The following is a 23212-nucleotide window of genomic DNA, read 5'->3' on the forward strand; positions in this document are numbered from 1 at the left end:
GTGTAAATTGTTTTAATCCTTTCTAGTCAAATTAATATGGTGTGGATGTCTTGTGGATACAAACTCAGTTATCTTTCTTGTTGACACATATAAGAAAATTCTGGCTGGGCACACATGATTTATTCTTTATATCTGGAGCTGTGCTGTAATCATTCACCCTTTTTCAAGTCGAGTTTGGCAACTTTATCTCGCTTGCAGTTTGCATTTTTTGAAAGTGAAAATATATTCTGCAGCTTTTGATGTGTTGATTGGTAGGAAGGTAAAGACAGCTGCACACAGTCCCTGGAGACAGGGCTCAGTGGCTAAATGAAGACCTCTAGTGCTTTCTTGTTAGCCAAGATAGATCTACATCCCCATGAACCACAACTAGTCAATAGCAGAGGCTCTCAGTGCATGTGATCAGAAGCCACAAATCAGTTTTCCCTGGGACTTAGTTATCGGCATATTGTGCCGTAGGCCATGCCCCGGTGCTGCTCGTTTGACTGTAATTTTTCCCCCAGTGAAGTTTTTAAAGTCACGGGCTGAGACTGTAACTGTGCTCTCTTGGCAACGAGGCTGTCACTAGCCTGCCAGATATCAATTGCCCATCAGATAAATTGCTACTTTAATGTACTCAGCCACTCACTATTAAGGAGGTTTAATGCTACCAGGATTTCTCATTATGTTTTCCTCTCCAAAATGTATTTCCAAATGTCTCCTTCCTTAAGACCAACACATTTACACTATACTGATGTATGTGCATGAGTTGACCAGTTGCATTTTTAAGTCTCCATCACTTTTATCTAAAGTGTTGTAATAGCCTCCTCGTTGGTCTCAGTATAACTGACTTCTTGCTATCTAATCCACCCTACACCCTTCTTCCAGAAGTGTCTTTCTCAAAGACAAATCTAGTTATATTCTCTCTCTTTTTAGAATTTCCCAATATCTTCTCTTATATCTTATCTATCTATCTATCTATCTATCTATCTATCTATCTATCTATTTATCTAACTATCTTTCTTTCTTTCTTCAGTGGGGCCCCTTAAAAATCCCCTTGTGTTAGGGCCTAGGGTACCCTAAAAATACCACTTTATTAGGGATAATTGCTTTATTCAGTCATTAGCTTGTCCCCTGAAAGTAGTCAAGTCCCTCTTCTTTGTAAAATTATAGTTTAAATTTAGGCACCAAAGCTATGTTTGAAATACCCATATTGTTGGCTTGCTGCTGTGTTTAAAAGGATTAGTGGGTTATTTTTGTGAGGGAATCCTCATCCCTGGCTAGTGGGCCACTCCTAGTGTGCTCTGGGCAGACCCATCCCTAAACGTAAGTTCTCCCTCTCAGTGAGTAGACCCTGCTGGGAGGGCCTCTTCTCCTCACAAGATTCTGATTATACACGATGCCCTCTAAGAAGAGGCTGCTGTTATTGCACATCCTAGGCCGGGATGTGGTCAGTTCTCATCCTCTGCTGCTCTGATGAGAAGTGAGGTTCTCAGGGCAGCGGACTTCTCCTTCATTATCACTCTGAGCTGTTCCCTGGCACCCTATACTATGGTGTAAAGGTTCAGTGTTTCCCAAACTCTTGAAAGCAGCATTTATGAATGGCACATGGTGGCCTGGTCTCAAACTGCCCACTTCTCCTGTCCCTCTCCAGGGTACTCCAGCAGTACTAGACCGAAACCACTCACAGTTCTCTGAATGTCTGCCTCTTCAAGCCTGGGTTACTTTACGTACTATACCCTGTGGTTGCCTTCACATAGATTCCTCCTCTTTTTATCTGCCTGCTAAAGTCATGCTCATCCTCTAAGTCTCAATTTAAATATCCCCCCTTCTCTGACATTTTCAGTAGCTGAGGGAAAATTATTCTTTTTTAAATAAGAGAGTCTTGAGCCTTTTTGAGAAAGGAGGTAGTAGAATGGGAGAGATTGATAGTCTGGGATAACTGATGGATCCCAGTTCAGAAATATATGATAAAGAGAAAGATCAAAAGCACAGAAGAAAAGCGTGTATGCCTGCTCTTACACAGCCTCTGTGGATTGTAACCATTTGTTTCTGTTTCGCTCTCCCATTCCAATGGTGCAGTGGCCCAAGCCACCAGGGTCTCTTGCTGTGAGCACTCTAATAACCTCCCAAGCGGTATCCTTATTTCCACCCTTGCTCCACTGTAGAATAATCTCAACACAGCAGCTAGAGGGAATCTTAAAACGCAGGCCAGATCCTGTTGCTTTTCTGCTCAAAATCTCCCATTCTCCTTCAGATGAACACCAATGGGCCATCTGATGCCCTCACGTGATGTGCCTTGCTCTATTTCCTCTGCTGAACATATCACCTTCTAACACAATATTTAAGTTACTTATTTATATTGTTTATTAATCCCTCCCACCCAATTGACATATGAGCTCCACTAATGAAGTTTTATCTGTATCTGTAATAACGGGGATACTTATTAAGTCCCCAATAAACATTTATTGAATGACTGAGAAAATTTTCCCATGGATGCTCATACATAAAACCAGTGTAGAAATTCACAAGCTCATAAAATTGATACCATTCATGACTTTGGCAAAAATCTTGGATATCTCTATTAAAAGTCCTTTTTAATAAAAAATTTTGACTACTTAACTAAACTTAGTAAATTTGAATAATTCTTTAAGCTGATACTACAGCTTCTATTAGAATAAGACCTTCAGATGATTATCCTCATATATCTCAGTTGATTGTTTCTAAGGGATTTTTTTTCTTTTTCTATGAATGACCCTTACATTTGCTGTTATCCTGAATATACTAGAATGATTTTAAAGTAATGACTTTCTTATAAAACTTCACAAAAAAAGAAAAAAAAATTCACTAAGAGAAAATAAGCAAAATTAGAAAAAAATATAATTTATTTTTGGATAACTAAAATCAATGGAAACAACTTCCTATTTATTTACACATTAATATTTGTGTTTTGATTAGCTACCATGTATACAAACTACCATTATAATTTTTGTTTAGAAAGTTGTCACCATTGGTATTCAAAATTTTCTCTTTATGAACTGTATTTTACAAAAATATGTACTCCTAACTGAAGTCCTCATTTTTATTTTAAACTATAGAAAGCTTGTTTCTTCATTGAGCCCATAACCAGGGTTAGATTTTTATCGCTATTAACACATGAGCCAAGAGAACATTTTCATGCCAAAGACAGTTATACTGTCTGTGCCCCGAAGAGCACAGTAGTGGCTGTTTGGACTTTGAACAACATATTAGTGAAGTCAAGTCACACATTTCTCGATGCCATTACGCAAACACAGGAAGAATGAAAGCCAGAGCTTGTAAAAGTAATTCTTGGAAGGCTTCAGGAGTGTATAAAATGTGCTCTGTAATTTTCAGCCTCCTGCAGTGCAAGTGATTAGCTAAAGAAACACTTTGAACCTGTTAGTTGTACATCTTTTAAACCATTTTAAATTATGGAAAAGATAGTCCTCAAGAAATTAATTTAAGTTTTGGACAATAATGCAATCAGGGATATCTATGTTTGCAGTCTTTTCTCTCTGCTTGCATACATCTTTCTCTGTCAAGTACATCAAACAGCTAATTAGCCTCATTTTAAGAGCTTCTCTGCTCACATCACTTAAAAGGATCTCCAGGCCGCCTTCTTAGAGAGTTCACACTTTCTGTGCATTGGCTTTCTGAAAGTTTCTTAGTCTTTGAAGGAATCTATTCCCTACATATTGGAAGAACTTTAAAAGTAGATGGACTTTCCTTCCCACAAATCAATTTTCTTTGTTTTCTCACTTATGATCAACATTTTACAAATAATCTTGTAAAGGTTGATACATATATTTTACCTGATATTTGCTTATTTTAGTTAAATACTCTTGGGTTTGCTGAAGACATCTGAAAAACATTAGAATGACTGCTTTTTATTAAGACATGTGGTGCCAGGAGAAAAAAAAATTGTGAGAGACTAAAGTGTTGCTTTCATTTAGCATAAAGTGTTACTACACTGACAAAAGTTTGATGTTTCAAATACCCACTTTAGAAGTAACTACAGGTCACATGATCTACAGATATCACATGTTAGCACATGTTAAAAGTTATAACCATAACTAGAGACAGAATTTCTGACTCACAGCTTCCATTAATCTGAACTATCATATGTCATCTCAAGTTGACTATAAAAATAACTCAAGACACCAGCGTGCTTCAATTAACAGCTGAAATATTGTGATATTTTAACACAGGTGATATAAAGAATCAGAGCCACAAATAGATACATAACTGTGAGTTGTAGCTACTTCCTTGCAAGTTTATTGTTTAGGGCAGATGTAGAGAATGCTTTCTCCCCTTACAATCCTATAGGACAGGGTGTGGGGGGGATGGGGCAGTGGGGGTATTATACTTACTTGGTTTCTTGATAATCTCGAGATACGTATGAATATGACCTGTGGCAAGATCGGTGGTAGATAGGTAAAAAACACCCCAGTATGTTTGAGATGGGGTAGGGAGTCTATGGTATCTTGAGGAGAACAAGGTGCTCAGAAAAGCCAAGGAGATGTCTGTGAAATAACAACAATAATAACATTAATACATCCATTGTGAACTTGGTATGCTTTAGACATAATTTTAAATGTTTTTAATATTTTTACTCACTAAATATTCAAAACAACTTTTAAGGTATTATCACCAACTTACCAATATAGACACTGAGGGCGGAGAGAGTTTAAGTAACTTCTTCAAGGTCACACACCCACCACATGGTGGATTTAGGATTTCACCCCTGCAGTCAGGCTCCAGAACTCTGCAGTCTTAAAATCCTGAAGGAAGAACAAAAGGAAGCAATAATGGAGATAAAATTGTGGAGATGGGGATGGGATAGGAAGTGAGGGAAGAAGTAAGAGAAGAAAAGAGGACTAAGTAGAGGCTAGACAAAAGTTATTTGTTTAGGTAACATCTAATAGCACAATTTTAATGGAAGGTCAAGATGTTTAAGGAGTAAAGGAAGGTATGGTAGGAAAAATATTTCCTTGAGTAGTGTGATATTTGACCTATGCTTTTGAAGTGAGTCATGTGGATTTAAGATTTTTTTTTGCCTTAAGATTTCATTAAAACTGAACCCATAGTTTGTATTAATACTTACTCAAGTATATTTTTATACCAAGCAAAAAAATTATTTCAACAAAAATAAATATTATGGTTTTAAAGGAGAGGGAATGAAAGCCAGGTTGATACATGAACTATCCAAATAAATTTCAAGAAAAACAAAAACACATGAACACTTATGTTTTTGCTTATATTTTACTGGAAGTATGTTCATTAAGTCTCTGTACATCAAAATTAGGCATTATGGCTGGCCTCATGCAGGTATTCCTGAGAAGACCAATAAGTAATAAGCAGTCTTCAATCTTTAGCAATAACACAAAACCAAAAATATCTCCCAATTCACCATTAAAATATGAGTGCAATAAGTTGAAGGCAAATTTTTAAATTATTTTATAATTAGAATGTTGTAACAAAGATTGCATCATATCATGCTTGGGCAGCTTATTTTTCAAAGGTAGGAAACACCTTTACAAACTAAACACTTTTTTTTAACCTCACCTTTTCAGTGTTTAATAATATCTTTTCACCAGATCAAGTGCATTGATCTTGTTGGTGAGGATCTTTTTAGATCTGATGCTGCTGTACAGATATTTCTCTGTCTTCATGTCATTGACAAATTTGAACATATTTGTTTACATTACTAATATTGTCTAAATACTGATGTTGAATGGCACTGTGCCACAGGGCACTGTCACAAATCACATTTAACTCCTGGACATGGGAATATCTATTTATTTGCCAGCATATTTTTAGTAAATATAGTAAATATGTCCTGCCAGGTATTCTTCTCTTGAGCCAGCTATATTTTTCCCCCCTTTGCAAAACAATATCATAAGATTTTGAGTCCTAGTTGCCTCTAACAGGAGGAATTGTATATGGCTCCGTTTTAGCTTCTGAAAAAGAAGAGTAGGAAGTCAACCATGTTACTTATCCATCCTCATTCTTCGTTTTAGTAAATGGGTTTCTTTTTCATTCCTGTAACCAGACCTCATCTTAAATCCATTTGTTTCACTTGGCTTGCTATCTTGTCCTCCCATGTTTTATTAGCTGTCTTGAACCTGGCTAATTATATAGTTCTTTTGGGATAGTTCCCTGTCCTTGCAGCTCCTCTCTGGAGCTGGGATACTCTCTAACCCAAAACAGTGGGTGCATATATTCCCATAGCTCTCTAATATTAACCTTCTGTTTGCCTTCTTTAGCCCTGTTCCTGGACAGTTTATATAGTATCATCATTGTGGTTTTACTCATATAATTTTCTAGCAACAACCTCACCCTCCAAAGATTAGGGATAGTTTATGTCCTATATTTCTTATGATAGAGTGGCTGCTTAGATAATGTTTATTGAATGGATCAAATAAAGTGTAGTTTCTTCAAGTTTTCTATTTCTAGGCTTTCTTTGCCACCACACTACTGTAGCACCTGTTACCATGTCAGGACCCTCCTGGTCCCTGCCAGCTGTCACTTAACATCATATCTATCTTCAGTTTCTGACTTTCACTCCTTACAAGTTGCTGAGTTTTTCTCAAACACATGATTCCCAATAGTGAGTGCACTTACTTTCCAGCTTCTTAGTTCCAGCCCTTCTTGACTTGGTTCCTTCATTGTATTGCCTACTGAACTCAAAAATCCTATTTTGACATAAAAATATTACTATTAGTTAACATTTTTTTACTACAAACTCTGAACCAGGCACTATTCCAAATAAAAACTGCTCACCTAACTATAAAAAAACTAGGGTCATATAAACTGTAATAAACCTGATGAAAGTAATTTTGCTATAAAATGTTACTAGATCTGAATAATCAGAAAGCCACATTATTTCACCAGGTAACACCGTACATAGTGGGACATTTAGGAACTGTCATGTTTATCATAGAGCTTATCACAGCTCTTAAATTTCCTGTACAAAGACTCTGCACAAAGGATTAGCTTTAAATGATGCAAAAGAAGATGAAAATGAATACAGTAGACTGTTCATGTTTTTATAGGCTTCTTTTGACTTCATGTCTAAGTTTAAACTTGTAAAAGAGTTCTCACATTATATCTGCACATAAGAAAACTTTCTGAATGTATCCAGAAAATATTTCTGAAGACAATGATATTCATTATTATTGCTTCATAATTACATTTTGTAAGTTCCTAATTGGAATTTGATGTTACTTATAATCAATATGTAAGTATAATGCTTTAATATAAAATTGTAAAATGTCAGGTATCGTATTAATACTATACTCAGTGAAGAACACTGCAAAAATGTCATGATTGCCGAGTTCAATATGTAGGATCATTATAAAATAAGCAAGACTATAATTAGTATCAAAACAAAATTCTAAGTCAGATGGAGATATTAATTTTATTTTTTCAAGGTAAAGTGAAGTAAGGAAGAATGATTAAAGGAGAGATATTTTATAATTCCAAAGACACATTCACTATATACTGCAAATATTACAGCAGAATAGATTGACATCATCTTATATTTGCCTTAAATCTGTTATCTTTAAGTTAATAGATATCTATCATTATGGAAATTTGAAACCCTAGCATAAGATATTAAGCTGGTCACTTGGTTTGCAACTGGAACTCTTTAATCTAATTTGGAATGGTAGTTATTATTTTATTTCCACAATAACAGAAATAATTCTGAAACATACACATACCCATAATAATAATACTAATAATAATAATAATAATAATTTGATAGGATGTCAGTCTTTCTTCAGTACTGCTAAATCCTTCAAATAAAAACGAACTTAATCATTTCACTTCTAGTCTGGCAGAAACAGATTTATATTCAAATTATTATGAATTATAGACTGCTCTGGTAATTTACATAGGAGGGTCTTGGTGACAAGAATAAGAAATTCTCATCTGCCAGTTCAATTTATGCCACATCAGAAACATGAAGGAACTGACAACATACAAGTATAACTAATAAATTTATTAGTCAAATACTTAACGCATATACCCCTATAATTAGAGATCAGTAATTATCAAGGGCTTGAAATGCCTTATACCCATAGTTCTTAGAATAAAAGACACATGCAAATCCAGTTGTTTAATCAGTATATCATCTTCTGTGTTCATTTCTGGAGAAAACTACTCTGTAAAAAATAATAAGCTGCACTTGGTAGAGTACTGTGACGTCTATTTGAAAAATATTAGTTTCTTCCTTAGTGTTTCTTCCACTTTGAAGTATTTTCTTTAACAATATGTCCTAGTGATTTTTCCATCTCATAGCTTACAGAGTGGCTGATTTTTCTTTTTAAAATAGAAGTATTCCATTATAGAGAGGGAAAATTGTTATTTAACTTCTATATTGATGCCAGTTAGGTTGTTTCCAATCTTTAACTATAAGATAAAATGCTTTAAAGAATAACTTATACATCCCTTTTTCACCTGTGCAAGTATACTTGTCAATACATTTCCAGAACTGAGATAACTGAATCAAAAATTAAATTCAATTATTATTTTGATAAATATTTCCCAGTTGTATCTCTGTAGACATTTTTTTTTTCCAAGTAATACTTCCACCAGAAATGTATGAGCAATGCTTAAGAGTCTCACCAGGAAAGTTTCTCCAACTTTTGGAATTTTGCCAACTTGATAGGTAGACGTGGTATCTTAGTGTAGTAACTTTAATCTAAATATCTTCTGTTATCAGTGAGGTTGAATCCCTTTCATATGTTTAATAGCTATTTGTACTTCTTTTTAAACGTAAATTTCCTTTACTCTTGCCACATTTTATGTTACATTTTCAATTATACCCTTTGGAAATTTAATCTCCATTTGACCTTTTTACTTCTCAAAGACTACTTTGTTTTCACTTTTGTTCTGCCTCTCTATGCTGGCAACGTATCTTAGGGCACCTTATGTACTTTCTCTGACAATGCTTGCTTGCTCCCTGCACAAACTCTTCATGATCTCATCCACCCTGACCTTGTGGTGCTAAGGGCACAGGTGAGAGAATACGGGTAGGACTAGAGGTGGGAGTGGGTGTTGTTCAGGAACATTTCTGACTTGATGAACATGACCCTTGCTATAAATCCATAGACTAACATGAAGTTCTCTGTGGAGCCTCAAAATACATTCAACTTAAAGTGATCCGTTTGAACAATAGGATCAAACTGAGAAAAGTCTGAGTTCCATTTATAATCGTTTCAAGGATTAGTTTTGCTTAATTAAAATGAAACCTTTGAAATGATGATGTTACTTGATTCCCATTCAAAGATTTTAGTCTCCACGATAGGGTTTAATGACAAGTATCTGGGATTGACTCTCACCTTCACCTCTTTCAGGCAGTGATCTCAGCCTCAGTTTCCTCAAGCAGTAAAATGGTGATTTAATAGTCTCAACCACAAAGGATTGTTGAGTGTTAAATTAAATAATGCATGTAAATTGCTTAGGACAATACTTGCCTTATCCTAAGTAAATACTATGTGATAGATAGTACATAATAATAGTAATAACTAAGCAATAAGTGATAAATGACTAATAATAGACTTACTGGTAAGGGTAATAAAATCACTTTAAACAAAGTTCAAAATTTGTAAAATAGATTCAGATGATTTTTACATTTTTAACATTCAACACACATTGTTAAATCAAAGTTAATGATTGAAGAATTAAGTTGTAATATGATATTGAAAAGTTTAATTAAAATTACCAGCTAATTTTCATTATTGAAAGAATAATATAAATTCAAAATATAAATTCAAAACTTTAATTATATAAGCTATATGTTTTATACATTATTAATATATACTAAGGCAATGTTATTTTGTTTGAAAAAATATATTCATCAGATCAACTTATAATTTTAAAGTTTTATTTAAAAATTAGAAAGATAAAAAAATGTATTGTTATTCATAGTACTTTTTATATTACCACCCATTACACACACACACACACACACACACACACACACTCACAGCAGAAAGAAATATTTCATGAAACAAATGTATATTTTCCATTTGTGTTATGTCCTGATCTGTTCTATTCTTTTTTATTTCAACTCATTTTATTTAGTGTTTTTTAAATGATAGTCATGTCCTATTAAACTGATTTCACAAATCACTAATGGCTTATAATCTGCAGTTTAAAAAATATTGCCCAAAAGTATATATTCTAGAGAATGTTAAAAATAAGTTCTTCGCTAAACTAAATTAGAAAAATATTGGCTTTAATGAAATTAAGTACATTGCCCTAGTGAAATATTTCTCAGTGTTTACTGTCCAAGTTATGAATTTCCAAAAAGAGGATAGATATAAAATACAACATTTTCGAATGGCATGAGATTTTGCAACTAAACCCTCTTTGCTTGTCTTTCCTTCTGTCTTTTCCTCTTCCTTTCTTCCTTCTTTGCTTGTTTTCTTCCTCCTTTTATTTTGAGGAAACACCTTCAGGAGTAGTTCTTAAGAAATGGACTTCATATATTTTCACATTTCAAAAAAGTAATTACCATAGGTTACTTTTGGTTATAACAGATCTCATCTTTTTTTATTTTTTAATTGGCTCAATTCACATATTTTTACATATGAACTTTGAATCTGTCAAACAAAATTGCTGTAACTCTAAAAGCTTCGACTGTTTTATCCTATTGCTTTTGTTTTAACTAGGTCTCTCTTTTATTATAAATTGTATATTACACATGTTCACATTATAAAATCACATTTACATCATAAATAATGGCTTACTGTTAAAATCCTTTATTTAGATGCCAGCTATATTTACTCAGTCCTCTTGATGGAATTCTACACATTGAAGAAACATTTATGTTGCTTTAAATCAATAAGTAGTAACCACTTATTATTTAGCAACAAAATTTTTTTTTAAAAGATCAGAACTAATATATATTGAATTCCTAGTATATACCAAAGTCCTATTATTTACAAATATTTCATTGGTAAATTTTTGCTGCATAACAAGCCACTGTAAAAACTAGTGATTTAAAATAACAATGATTTATTATTTCCCATAATTCTATGGGTTAGTAGGGCTCAGCTGGACAGTTCTTCTGTTGATCTTGCCTGCAATCATGTGGCAGCAATCATTTGACAGCTCAACTGTGGCTGAAGTATCTAAAATGACCTTGCTACATATCTGGGACCTTGACACTTCCTTTTAGCTGGGTTTCTTTTTTTCATGTGGTCTCAAAATTCAAGACCTCTGAGGTAAAGGCCTCAGAGACTTCTCAGTTGTGCCACATTGTATTGGTCAGGACAAGTCAGAAAGTCAGCCAGATTGAAGGACTGGGGAAATAGATTCTACCTCTTGATAAAAAGGGCTGGAAATACCATGGCTTTGTTTTTCAATACAGCACAGATGATTTTTTTTCTTTTTTTTTTTTTTATAAGGAGTCTCACTCTGTCACCCAAGCTGGAGTGCAGTGGAATGATCACTGCAACCTCCGCCTCCCAGGTTCAAGCGATTCTCCTGCCTCAGCCTGGAATTACAAGTGCATGCCACCATGTCCAGCTCATTTTTGTATTTTTAGTTTTTAGTACAGATGGGGTTTCACCAGGTTGGCCAGCCTGGTTTCGAACTCCTGGCCTCAAGTGATCCGCCAGCTTTGGCCTCCCAATGTGCTGGGATAACAGGTGTGAGCCACTGCGCCCAGCCTTCAATATAGCACAGATGATTTCTATTAAAATCCTTATGAGAATGCTATAAATTATGTTAGAAGATAACTGTTTTAGAGCAGAAACCTCAAAAGGGGTTGAAGTAAAAGGCATCTATTCTTGATGAGAAGGAAATGGTAGCTTATACAATATATAATATGGAGTAAACAGTTGATAATAGTCTATGCTGGGCTTTACTCAAGTAACTTGTTCCATTTAAAAAATTGTTTAAGGAGAGTTATGACTCATTCTTGTGGGAGTAATTGCAGTATAGTAGAAAAAGCAGATGTTATACAATGGTAGAACCTGGGTGTGAATTCTGGCTTTCCCAATTATTGGTTATGTGGCCCGTGGCTAGCATAACACAATCAAAGTTTCTTTAAAAGTATTTAGGTTACTGGTGGTAGTTTTCCATATGGATCTGCAGCAACCTCAATTCTTGCCTCCTCTAAAGAGAGAATTCAACTGAGGTGCATAAGGCAGAAGGAGAGAGTGAGGCACATTTTAAAGCAGGAATGAAAATTTATTAAAAAGCATTACAGCAGTAATCAAAGGAAGGAAAGTACACTTGGGAGTGGGCCAAGCAGGTGCCTTGAGAGACCAACTTCATGGCTTGGCCTCTTGACTTGGGGTTTTATATGTTGGCGTACTTCCGGGGTCTTGTGTTCCTTCTCCCCACTCCTGAAAACTTATTGGGAAGCTGCTGATCAGTTTCAGGTGTTTTCTATCTATCTATTAGGAGCATGTTTGTCTCTGGCACTGGCTGTGGCCAATTGTTACTTCAGAGAGATAGTTAACAATCACCAGACCATCACCTGGTCGCCCAATACTCCTGGTGTGTGTATAATGGGAGCTCTCTCCTGCCCTGCTCATGCCTGACCAGCTACCTACTGTAACTTTCAGGTAATGATAAATGAAATAATTTTGGAATTGTTTGGGCATTCAGTAAATAATAATCAATAATAATTCAATAAATGATAATCTCCTTGGTCTTTTTCTCTACCTCTTTGGAATTTTTTAGTATCTATTTAAACAAAACAAAGTAAAAACTAAATTCCAAACTGCATTTTACTTTCTCCTTAGCCTTTTCCACTGACTAACTTAAAGTACAATATAAGAAAATATGACTATATGATACATTTTACTTTTTTTCATTGATTTAAAGTGTCATCACAGAAGGAAAAGAGATAAATGTTTAATTTTCAAAACTAGAAGAAAAGCATGATTTAAAAAACAATGACTCATAAATGATTTAAACTGTGTGTATATATATGTGTTGGAGAATGGGAATTATATAACTGCATTATAAGTGCTTTGGACAATAGAAATACTAAATAGTAAAAAGAAAAAAAAGCCTCATAGTTTGAAAGCCAGCTTGTATTTGTAGCAAACCTCTAAAAGAAGCCTAAGAGATACGTCAACATTTGAAACCATTAGTCATAATGACACAACACTAGCACTCCAATTGGATGATATGGAGAGGACCACGTTGGGACTTATATTTTGATATTATCTAACCAGAAAACAAAATAGAGCACCCAAATTTTGGGTAAAGAAAGAAGAAGGCTTTAGGTAGATGCCAGGGTGCCTCTAAGGTAGAAGACAGATGCCTCTTTTGAGTTACTGATTCAAGATTTTTGTAAAGGAAAGCTTTAAAGTATGATAGTCTTGTCTTTCCAAGTGTTTTCTTCAATCTTCTGCTAGACCTTAGCTCTGTAAAACCTAGAGGTTTTTGTGGAGTTTTTTTGGGGGGAGGAAGGGATCCTATAAACAAAAATAAAGCAGTGAGTTTGTGTTGAGGGAGTCTAATACATATTTCAATCGATATCAAAGAAACCGTCTTCTTCCAGAACAGTGAGACAGAGAGGCAGAAGCAGTGGGGAGGGCAGAGGCAGTAACAGGTCCCTCTTCTAGATGGTGATGGGCAGCATCCCTCTGGTGATTGCTAGATATGGTAACCGGGAAAGGGCCAGGCCTCTAGGAGGCAGAGAGGGAATAATAATGAGAAGGACACTGCCCAGGAGACTGTCAGAAGTTAAAGGAGCCTAGAAAGAAAAAACACTGCTCTGCTTACCTTAATTTATTATTTCCCCTACCTCCACGTCCAAGGTCACTATGGACAAGGCAACCCCAGTATTACCCTTTGTATGTCCCAAAACATCTCTCAGAAAATATTTTCATGTTTCCTAAATTCAAAGATATACAAGTGTATTAAACAATTACTAGGGATCTCAAAGGGATACCTCATTGCAGTTAGGCAATGAAGGTAATTTGATTTTTAAAAACATGAGTAAGAGCTATAGTGTCTGTTACATAGTTGCTTCCTTTTATTCTGGAAATAGCCACAGACACAAAATTCTTACAGCCTTATCTTCCATTTTCACTCTTAGCTGTTACAAAAACATGCTTTGCATTATATTTAGATAAATAATATTGATACCCTTTTATAAATTTGTCTTGTTCTTTTTGCTTTTTTGGACCTCTTTTGGAATACATCTGTATGCATTGTGTCCAGTAATATTGAGAGTTGTACCTTCCATGATCCTTTGCCATTGCATGATGAAACGCTCTATTTATATTAAAATGAAGGTAGTCCTAGGGGAGACATAGAGCAGAATGAAACAACAAACAGAGCTTTAGAGACTGAATATGTGAAGTGACAGTGATGGCAGAATGGTAGCTCTAGTTACTGAGTGGCCCAGAGGACTTTAGAAAGACTTATAGCTCCAGCCGCAGTGCCTTGAACGTGGCAGCTCCCACAGGTTTAAGTACTCACAGTACAGCAGCTAATCAAATAATTTCTCCTCTTGCGCATCTCGACTTGGTATGTCATTGTAATAATATGTAGCTGGCTGAGGGTCAGGGGATTTTTTTTTCCTCTTCTGTTAACCAAATGAAGCATTTTATCAAATGATCAAATTTCTTCATAGCAATATTGTGATTACAATGATCTGTTTACTCCAGGTAATGAGAGGATAAGCCACGAAAATCACATTAACTTTAATGTGATATTACACCAGCCTTGAAAATAAAGAGGAGCAAATTAATTGAGATACTAAAGTTCTTTCCTTTAAGTCTAATTTTTATGGTAATGGAATGGAGGAGACTAAGAGGAACTTAACACAGTGTTTCCTTGGGATCCTTGGGGCCATTCAACCATTTGTCCAAAGTGAGGAACGGTCAATGAATAATGTGGAGAAAGGCCTGGGTTTTCCCTTCAGCTTTGTTACTCTTTGGATACATAGTCACATGAAAGTGATTTTACATCTTTTGGATGCAAATTCATTATCTAAATACCATATTGGATTAAGTGATCTTTTAAGTTTCCTTGCAAAACTAAAACCTATTATTCTTACTGGAATTTGCATTGAGCAAAAATTAAAAAAATATTTATTGGAAGAGCTCAAAATTTATCATTCCCTGACTGATTGTTTTATTAAGATTGTTTTACCTTCAAGTGAAGCATCATTACATGAGCTAGAACATGTTTCCAGACTAGAAGTTCATGGCCTCAGTTGTCATATGTATTGGACAGACTTTCTGAGAATTTTGGACCAGCACATGAGCTCTCCAACAGTTAATCTTTTATTCAGGTATAGTTTCTTCTCTGGCTCCTCATTTATTTTTTGTAAGAGATGGAAAATCCTCTACCAGGTCAACTGTCAGTTAAAATATGTAAGTCCATATTTAACTAAAACTATAGATAATCTACATTCTGAGTGTTTGCCAAAGAGTGTAATTTCAAACTCTTTGCTTTCCAATATCTATCAAAAGATCTGCAGAAAGAAACAATATATAGAAAAGATTGCTTGAAAGATGAAATCCATCCATTATTCCAGACACTTTAAAATCTACCCTTGGATTTGGACAAATCAGAAGACAGCTGCATACCTGGATGGTATTGTATTGACCCCTATGGGACTGCCTTTACTAAACTGTTGTTTTAGAGTGATGCCAACAATATTGTGAGACTTGTCATGTGTCTACTCTAAGAGTGTGGTTGAAGATGTAAGCCAGTATATTACATGGTGCTGGTTTTATGAGGACCATGGGGAGATATTTCTGTCGGATATTAGTAACAGCAATAATTTTGTTGTCCTAACAACTGTTCTGGTTTTATCTTATATACCTTGTAAATTGTGTAACTGACCAGGTTTCTATTTTCCCACCGACTGTTAAAAAAAATCTTAGGACAGATTTTCAGCCTACCAGTAGCAAGTTTTTATGATAGGAATTTTTTTAGAGGTCTCATATCTGGCTGCTCTATCTTATGACCCTACCAATATTTTCTTTTCACTTTATTTCCCCTGCTTTTTAATTCAAGTTGTCTCTTCATTTTATTTTTTCTTTTAATCTGACAAATTATTTCTGCACCTGGGTGAGGTATGTATTTGCTTATTTATGTGTTGTTTTTTCTCTGCCTTATTTCAAAAAGATTTAAAAGAGTTTAACAAAATTTATGCAATTATACTTAAAATATATAAACCAGTAAATTGGAAAACAAGGTGAAAATTAAGGCGCATCTACTTGATTTCTATCTTAGTGTCTTTGGGTTGCTATAACAAAATACCTTAAACTGGTAATTTATAAATAACAGGAATTTAGTGATCACACTTCTGGAGGTTGGGAAGTCCCAGATCAAGGCATAAGAAGATTCCTTCTCTGATGAGGGACTATTTATCATACATGGCACCTACTATGTATCCTCACATGGTAAAAGAAAAAAGGGGGCAACAGGCTCCCTCAAGCCTCTTTTATAAGGGCACAAATCCCATTAGAATAGCTGTATTCATAGCTCATGTGCCTCCATTTGGAGGCCTCTTTATTAGGGGCCTTCAGCTAAGGTCTTCCTCAGGCATCTCTACTGAGACCTACTTTTAGAAGGAGGGTGGTACCTTGAAGACAATTTTCCCCACTCTCACTCAGTACTTTTCTACCCCTAGTTTTTCGTCGTCTGCTTTACTCCCCTACCCAACCCAGGCCCGTAAAATGCAGGTGCCTTTTTTGGGAGGCTCTCTCTACAGGTATTTTACATTAAATGCAACAATGGAGAACCCAGTACTTTTACCTATTTATTTAGCCTCTTGTTACTATCACAGAAAGTAATTAAAGGCTTGATTATTACTTTAATTTTGGCTTGTTGTCTTAATTGGCTACCCTGAGCTCAGCTCTATCCGGCTGAACTCAGCTCTCGACAAACCCTTGATTTCATGTTTGGTCCCAAGAAGTATTTTACTTTGAGAATTTTTGCTAACTGAAGAGACTGGGACTGAGAGTCTGTTTTGTATTTTAGCTCAGCAAACCCTGGCCTTGTATATCTTTCTCTAATTATTCTTGCAGACTAAACAACTCTTTCTTCAGCTCATCTCTCTTTTCTTGTACCTTATCATATTCAACTAAGACAAGCTGCTTGGCACTTTCAATATTCTGTGTAAAGATGTCCTAACTGTAAAATGAAGAATAAGCCACAAGTTTATTGCATATATTTCCCATCTTTCAAATTACTGCAGGTGACAGTTTTGCAATTGTTCTGTGCTATATACCACAGGTCACTCATTCTCCAGCCTCTGAAAGTCCCTTTCCGTCTTGCTACCTAACACCAGCTGCTCAGTTCCAAAGCCAATGCTACATATTTAAAGTTCTATAAGACAGTCTCCTACTTCCAGTACAAATTTACCTCTCAGTTAAATATGGCTGCCTAATACACTGTACCAAAACTTAGCAGCTTAAGTAATTAGAATTTATTATTTCTTTGGATTCTGTGGGTTGCTGGGTAGTTTCTTTTGTGCTCACTCATGTGACTGCATTTAGCTGCAGTTTGGTTGCATGAGAAGGTTCAAGATGGCCTCACTCATTGTATTAGTCCCTTCTCATCCTGCCAATAAAAGCATATCAGAGACTGGTAATTTATAATGGAAAGAGATTTAATTGACTCACAGTTCCACATGGCTTGGGAGGCCTCACAATTATGGCAGAAGGCAAGGAAGAGCAAAGTCACGTCTTATATGGTGTTAGGCAAGAGAGCTTGTTCAGGGGAGCTCCCATTTATAAAACAATCAGATCTCATGAGATTTATTCACTACCACGAGAACAGTATGGGGTAAACCACCCCCATGATTCAATTATCTCCACCTGGCCCCACCCTTGACATGTGGGGATTATTACAATTCAAGGTGAGATTTGGGTGGGGACACAGCCAGACTATATCACTCATGTTCAGCAGTTGGTGCTATAAATCTGGGATGCCCCAGATCTTCTTCATATGGCCTTTTGTCCTCCAGTAGGCTAAACTGACCTCCTTCATGGAAGTTTCAGGGCAATTCCCAAGAAAAAGAAAGCAAAAACTTCAAGACCTCTTGAGGTTGAGCCTTTGGAATTTATACAATGTCTTCATTGTGGTGGCTTACTAGGATGCAGTTCACAAGACCAACCCAGACTCAAGTGGCAGGGAAATGAAGGCCACCTCATTAAGAAGAGCTGCAAAATATTTGTGACCACATTTAACATGCCATATTCATGACCGTATTTAACACACAATATTTCTCACAAAAATAGGAGGATTTTGGTCCTGACCAGGTATGTGCCCCAAAGAACTTGCTTCCTATGTGGTGATAGCTACCCTACCAAAAGTTGCTCCAGTCTGCTTCTCCTGGTTCAGTTCTTGAAATCTTGCTTCCATCCCTGGATTTTGAACCTTAGCTCTGGTCTTTTTTGCACAGGATTCCTACTACCTTTTTATTTTGCCTCTCTATGTAGTACCTTCTTGTTGATGGCTTATTATTTTGTCTGTCTCATTGACAGTTTTCTTATGGAATGCTGAATCTTCAACTGAATGCACTGATATCCATAGACCAGTGGGTTTCTATGCCAGTCCAGTGTCTTGAAAATCCTGTCTATATATTACCACCCATTCCCAGATTTGTCAGAGTTGAGTCACTCACTGCCTGGTCTTTCAAGAATGTGCCCTGATAACTCACGATTTACAATGTTTTTAGTTCTTGGTTCCAACAACTCAGAAGAAAACAAAGCCTTATTTTTAGTAGAGCATAACTTTTGTTCTATTGTAAATGATAACCATTTTTCTTGGCAATAACTTGAAGAAAGATCTATTAAAATATCTATATTTTAATACATTGTGAAAACACAGATTTCATGTAAAGGGGTGGCATAGACTTTAAAGAAAAACACCAAAATCTAGGAAAATCAGAAAACAAATATGGCATGAGTACAACTAATGTTATAAAAGACAATAACATAGTATGAAGGACGCTCATTTATACAATACTTAAATTTTAAACATAATCTTTCCAAATTCATGCTATCAAGGAAACAAACTATTGGTATTAATTCATCAATATTTTATGCCTCTACAAAAATTATAATGAATAAACTGAGAGGATTCATGGAGGTGAGAGAACCTAGGTAAAATTAATTGCTTCCATCATAGTATAAATAGAAAAGGGCTCCGTATAAGCACTGAGACTTCTGAGGGAGGAAAAAGTCATTTTATAAGAGCTGAAAACATCTGAAGAAAGAGTTACCATGGCTTATGCTGGCCTAGATTAAGCCCAAAGCAAACCTTCCAACTGTTGTTGAATTACAAGTTTAAAAATCTTCAGAAAGTTTCCTTTAAGTACATATCTTAACAAAATTTGAGTTTTTATGAAAAAGTTAGAAGTTAAGAAACTACTTTCCTGTAATATAATTTAAGGACAAATACTAAATGTAATATTTAAATAAACATTGTAATGTTTTGATGGAGACATACTGATGAATTAAACCTACTTACTCACATTTTTAGTTATTCAGCACAAATATAAGATTATAAGTATTAATATACAGTAGTGTCTATGATGATTATGTTCCTTTCAAAATGCTCTCACAATATTATACTAATTATACAAATCCATTTACACAAAAACTTAGCAAATAAATTATTGATATGTTATTTGCTTGATATTATATATTTCAGAGCTAATAAAACTCACTTTAATTTTGTTCATTTAAGATATATACTTTCCCATTGCTTCACATGTGGTATTAACTAAAAAATTATTTACATAAGTTTTATTTTCAGGTACATATCAATGTCTTCTTCATTTCCCTATCACACACACGTTTATTTTATTTTACATAGAAACATAATCAACCTACCATTATACATTTGGGTTTTTTAGAGTTTTTTCAGCAGATTATGACAGTATTACCTCACACTCAACACATTTGTAGGATTGAATATCAGGCTGGGACTTTAAATGTTTATTATTACTGTGGTTATCTGATACAACAGTGAGTAAGAGTGTTGGATTACTTTTTGCTCCATGTTTATGATCTTCCATTGAACCTACAATGCTTAGAATTAACCACATTCAGCCAAGTATCTCTAAATAGACATAGAACTAAATGAAACATAACTATTTGTTAAGCAAAAAAGAAAAAAGGAAAGTCCCAGTAACAAGCAATATCCAACTTGAGCCTACTTGTGCATTGTCATATGGTCATCTCACTCCTTATAAGGCAGGTCTCCTCTATGACCTTGAATTGGGGTAGAAAAAGTGGTTAGAGATCCCTTTTGAAATTGCCACCTGCAGAAGGATGGGAAAAGCTGAATGATTTTTTTCCATCATCTCTCCCTCTCCTTTATATGCATTTCAGTAAAAATTTATAGTAGATTAGGACTACTAGTTTTCTTTATTTATGCTACAACTTAATATCTGGAAAGAATTTTTCTATAAACTGTTTTCAGGAATGTGTTGATTATACTGACAAAATACTATGTAATTTAAAAGTAATTGAAATCTATATATGAGAGAGAGAGAATAAGTGAGGGAGGTAGGTAGGTAGATAAATTCATAACAAATAGGAAGATAGATTGGTATTTTGCAGGACAGTAGAACATTATAAAGATAAGACTTAGAAATTCAATACTGGAAGTATCATTATAAAAAAAATGTTCAGGAAAAGGTTCATATTCAGTCAGTTTTACCCTTAGTCATTTTTTTTTTCCATTCACAAAGCAGGAAATGATGTTCTTTCTGTAGTCCTGGAAACTATGCATAAAATTGCAGGTCCAAGAAAGTGTCAATTGCTAGCTCCCTTCCCACTAACTCACCCATAACCTCTGGGAACCCTCTTAACCTCATCTGTAAAATGAGGCGAATAACCTTGACCTGTTTTATTGGCTGTTGGGAGGTTTGGCAGTAAATGTTTGAAAAGCACTTTAAAAACACACGCAGATGAAAAATTAAAAAAAAAAGGTCATTTAGGTGACAGCAGAAATGCATACAGTTTTTGAGGTGTACCAAGTTAAACAAGTGTGCACCTGAGACCCCTGAGTAAGAGACATGTGGTGAGTGATTCATGTTCTGTCTGTCTTCAGTGGTAACTGCTTGTCGTTGAAGCACTAGATAAGACAACATCAATAGAAAAAGGCTGTTTGACTATTCCCAGAGAACTGTAATTTCATTATTAGGGGCTCTAAGCAAAAATTTAGCACTATAAACACTTTCGAAAAATATAAATGCAAAGAGAGCTAAGGTGGAAAGGGAAAGATCTCAGAGACAAAAACACTGCATTTTTCCATATAAATGGGAGGGTTTGAGAGTTGCTTGAAAGTCAGAATGATGAGTATCAGCATGGTTCATTAAGAAGGAAACAATGCAAGAAAAAATACACCTGGCATGGAGCCCTTTACTCAAATCAAGAATGGCTAATTGAAGCAAGTGTATTCACTGAGGGCAGAGATAGGCAGAGATGCCCTTTAGCATGCCTTGTAATTTTCTGTTGAAAGTTGGGCATGGTGTATCAGGAAAAAGGAACTGAGGTAGTTAGGCCTTTAGTGTGAGGTCGATGGTGATCTGGTTAAAATTTAGACTCTGTTTTCTATTTGCTGTCATCATGGTGTCATAGGCTAAAATTTCCTCTGATGTCCTTGTTTTGTCTCTTTTGTTGTCCTTGGGTTTCCCTAGAGACTCCTTAACTAGAGATTGAGGCTTATAGTTCTTTTAACTTTAATCATTTACGATTCTACAGGAGTTTTATTAATGTGGTAAGGCATGGCGGGGGGAGGGAAACAGTCTATAATTCTCTGATTAGATCTCAGTCTTAGTTTTTACCCAGTACCTAAGATGGGTATTTCATTTGCTTCACATTGAAGGCTAGAAGGAGCTACAATTGGGTATTTCCTTTTCCTCCAGGGTGCTAATTTTCAGTGTCAACTTGACTAGATTGAGGGATTCCTAGATAGCTAGTAAAAGGTTATTTCTGGGTGTGTCTGTGAGGGTGTTTCTGGAAGAGATTAGCATTTGATTCAGTAGATGAGTAGAGAAGATCCACTCTCACCAATGTGAATGGCCATCCAATCCCTTGAGAGCTCAAATAGAACAAAAAGGCAGAGGAAGGGCAAATTTTCTCTCTCCTAGAGCTGGGATAGCTACCTTCTCCTGCTCTTGGACATCAGAGCCCCAGACTGCCAGGCCTTTGGACTTCGGAACTTACACCAGCAGCCCATCTTCCCCAGGTTCTCAGAGTTACAAGTCTGCTTCTCAGGCCTTTGGACTCAAACTGAATTATACAACCAGTTTCTTTGATGGTGCAGCTTGCAGACAGCATATTGTGGGACTTCTTGGCCTCCATAATTGTGTGAAGCAATTACTCTAATAAATCCCCTGGAGAACCCTGACTAATACATCAGATCATCTAGTCTTTGGTAAAAAGACTCCAGTTGGTTAGGCTCTGGTAAAATAGTTTCTCTTGAGTGTAAGCTTTGTTAAGAAGAATAGGAAGTTCTGAACGTATTTCAAAATGGTTACTTTTCCCCTCTCCCTGCTAGAGTTAGGAGGGGAATTTTCTCCGATATTTAGGCTGTAAGGTCTTGTATTAACTTTCCTCAATTTGTAAACTTACAATTTGGTAAAGCAGAAATAATTCTATAAACATTTATGATATTTTTAAAGTTTCTTTTTGATAATAATTCTCTTAACTATTAGATGGAAAGTCCATATTAATTAAAATCCATGACCCTCTTGAAAGAGAGAGGGTCATATAAGTCACAAATTACGGTTTAATGGGAAAAGCAAGGATACTCCAAATAGCTTAGACATTCTATTCTATAAAAATGCTCTGTGATTTAGGAGGGGTTACATCCCAATAAATGCATTGCAAGGTAAAAATATTATAAGGTAAAATGGGCATTTTGTAGACATGATGAGATGCAAAATCACAAAAAACGGTAACCCAAGAATGTGGCACACAATGCGTGTAAACTATTGCTTGTTTACTCTCATGATGACATGGCTGGCTGGGAGCTTCACCTTTCTACTGCGGCCCAGCATCTTCAGAGAGTGTTGTACTGCATATTGCTAGCCCAGGAAAAGATGAAAATTCAAAGTAGGGATCCTACTGAATGCATATCACTTTTGCAACATCATAGAGTCAAAAAATCCTAAATCAAACCATCATTAAGTCAGGGACTGTCTGTAGATCATCTAAATGGTATTCATGATTTAGTTTTGGATAACAAAGGACAATTT

Source organism: Homo sapiens, chromosome 4 (assembly GCF_000001405.40).
Source record: "Homo sapiens chromosome 4, GRCh38.p14 Primary Assembly".
Classification (NCBI taxonomy): domain Eukaryota; kingdom Metazoa; phylum Chordata; class Mammalia; order Primates; family Hominidae; genus Homo; species Homo sapiens.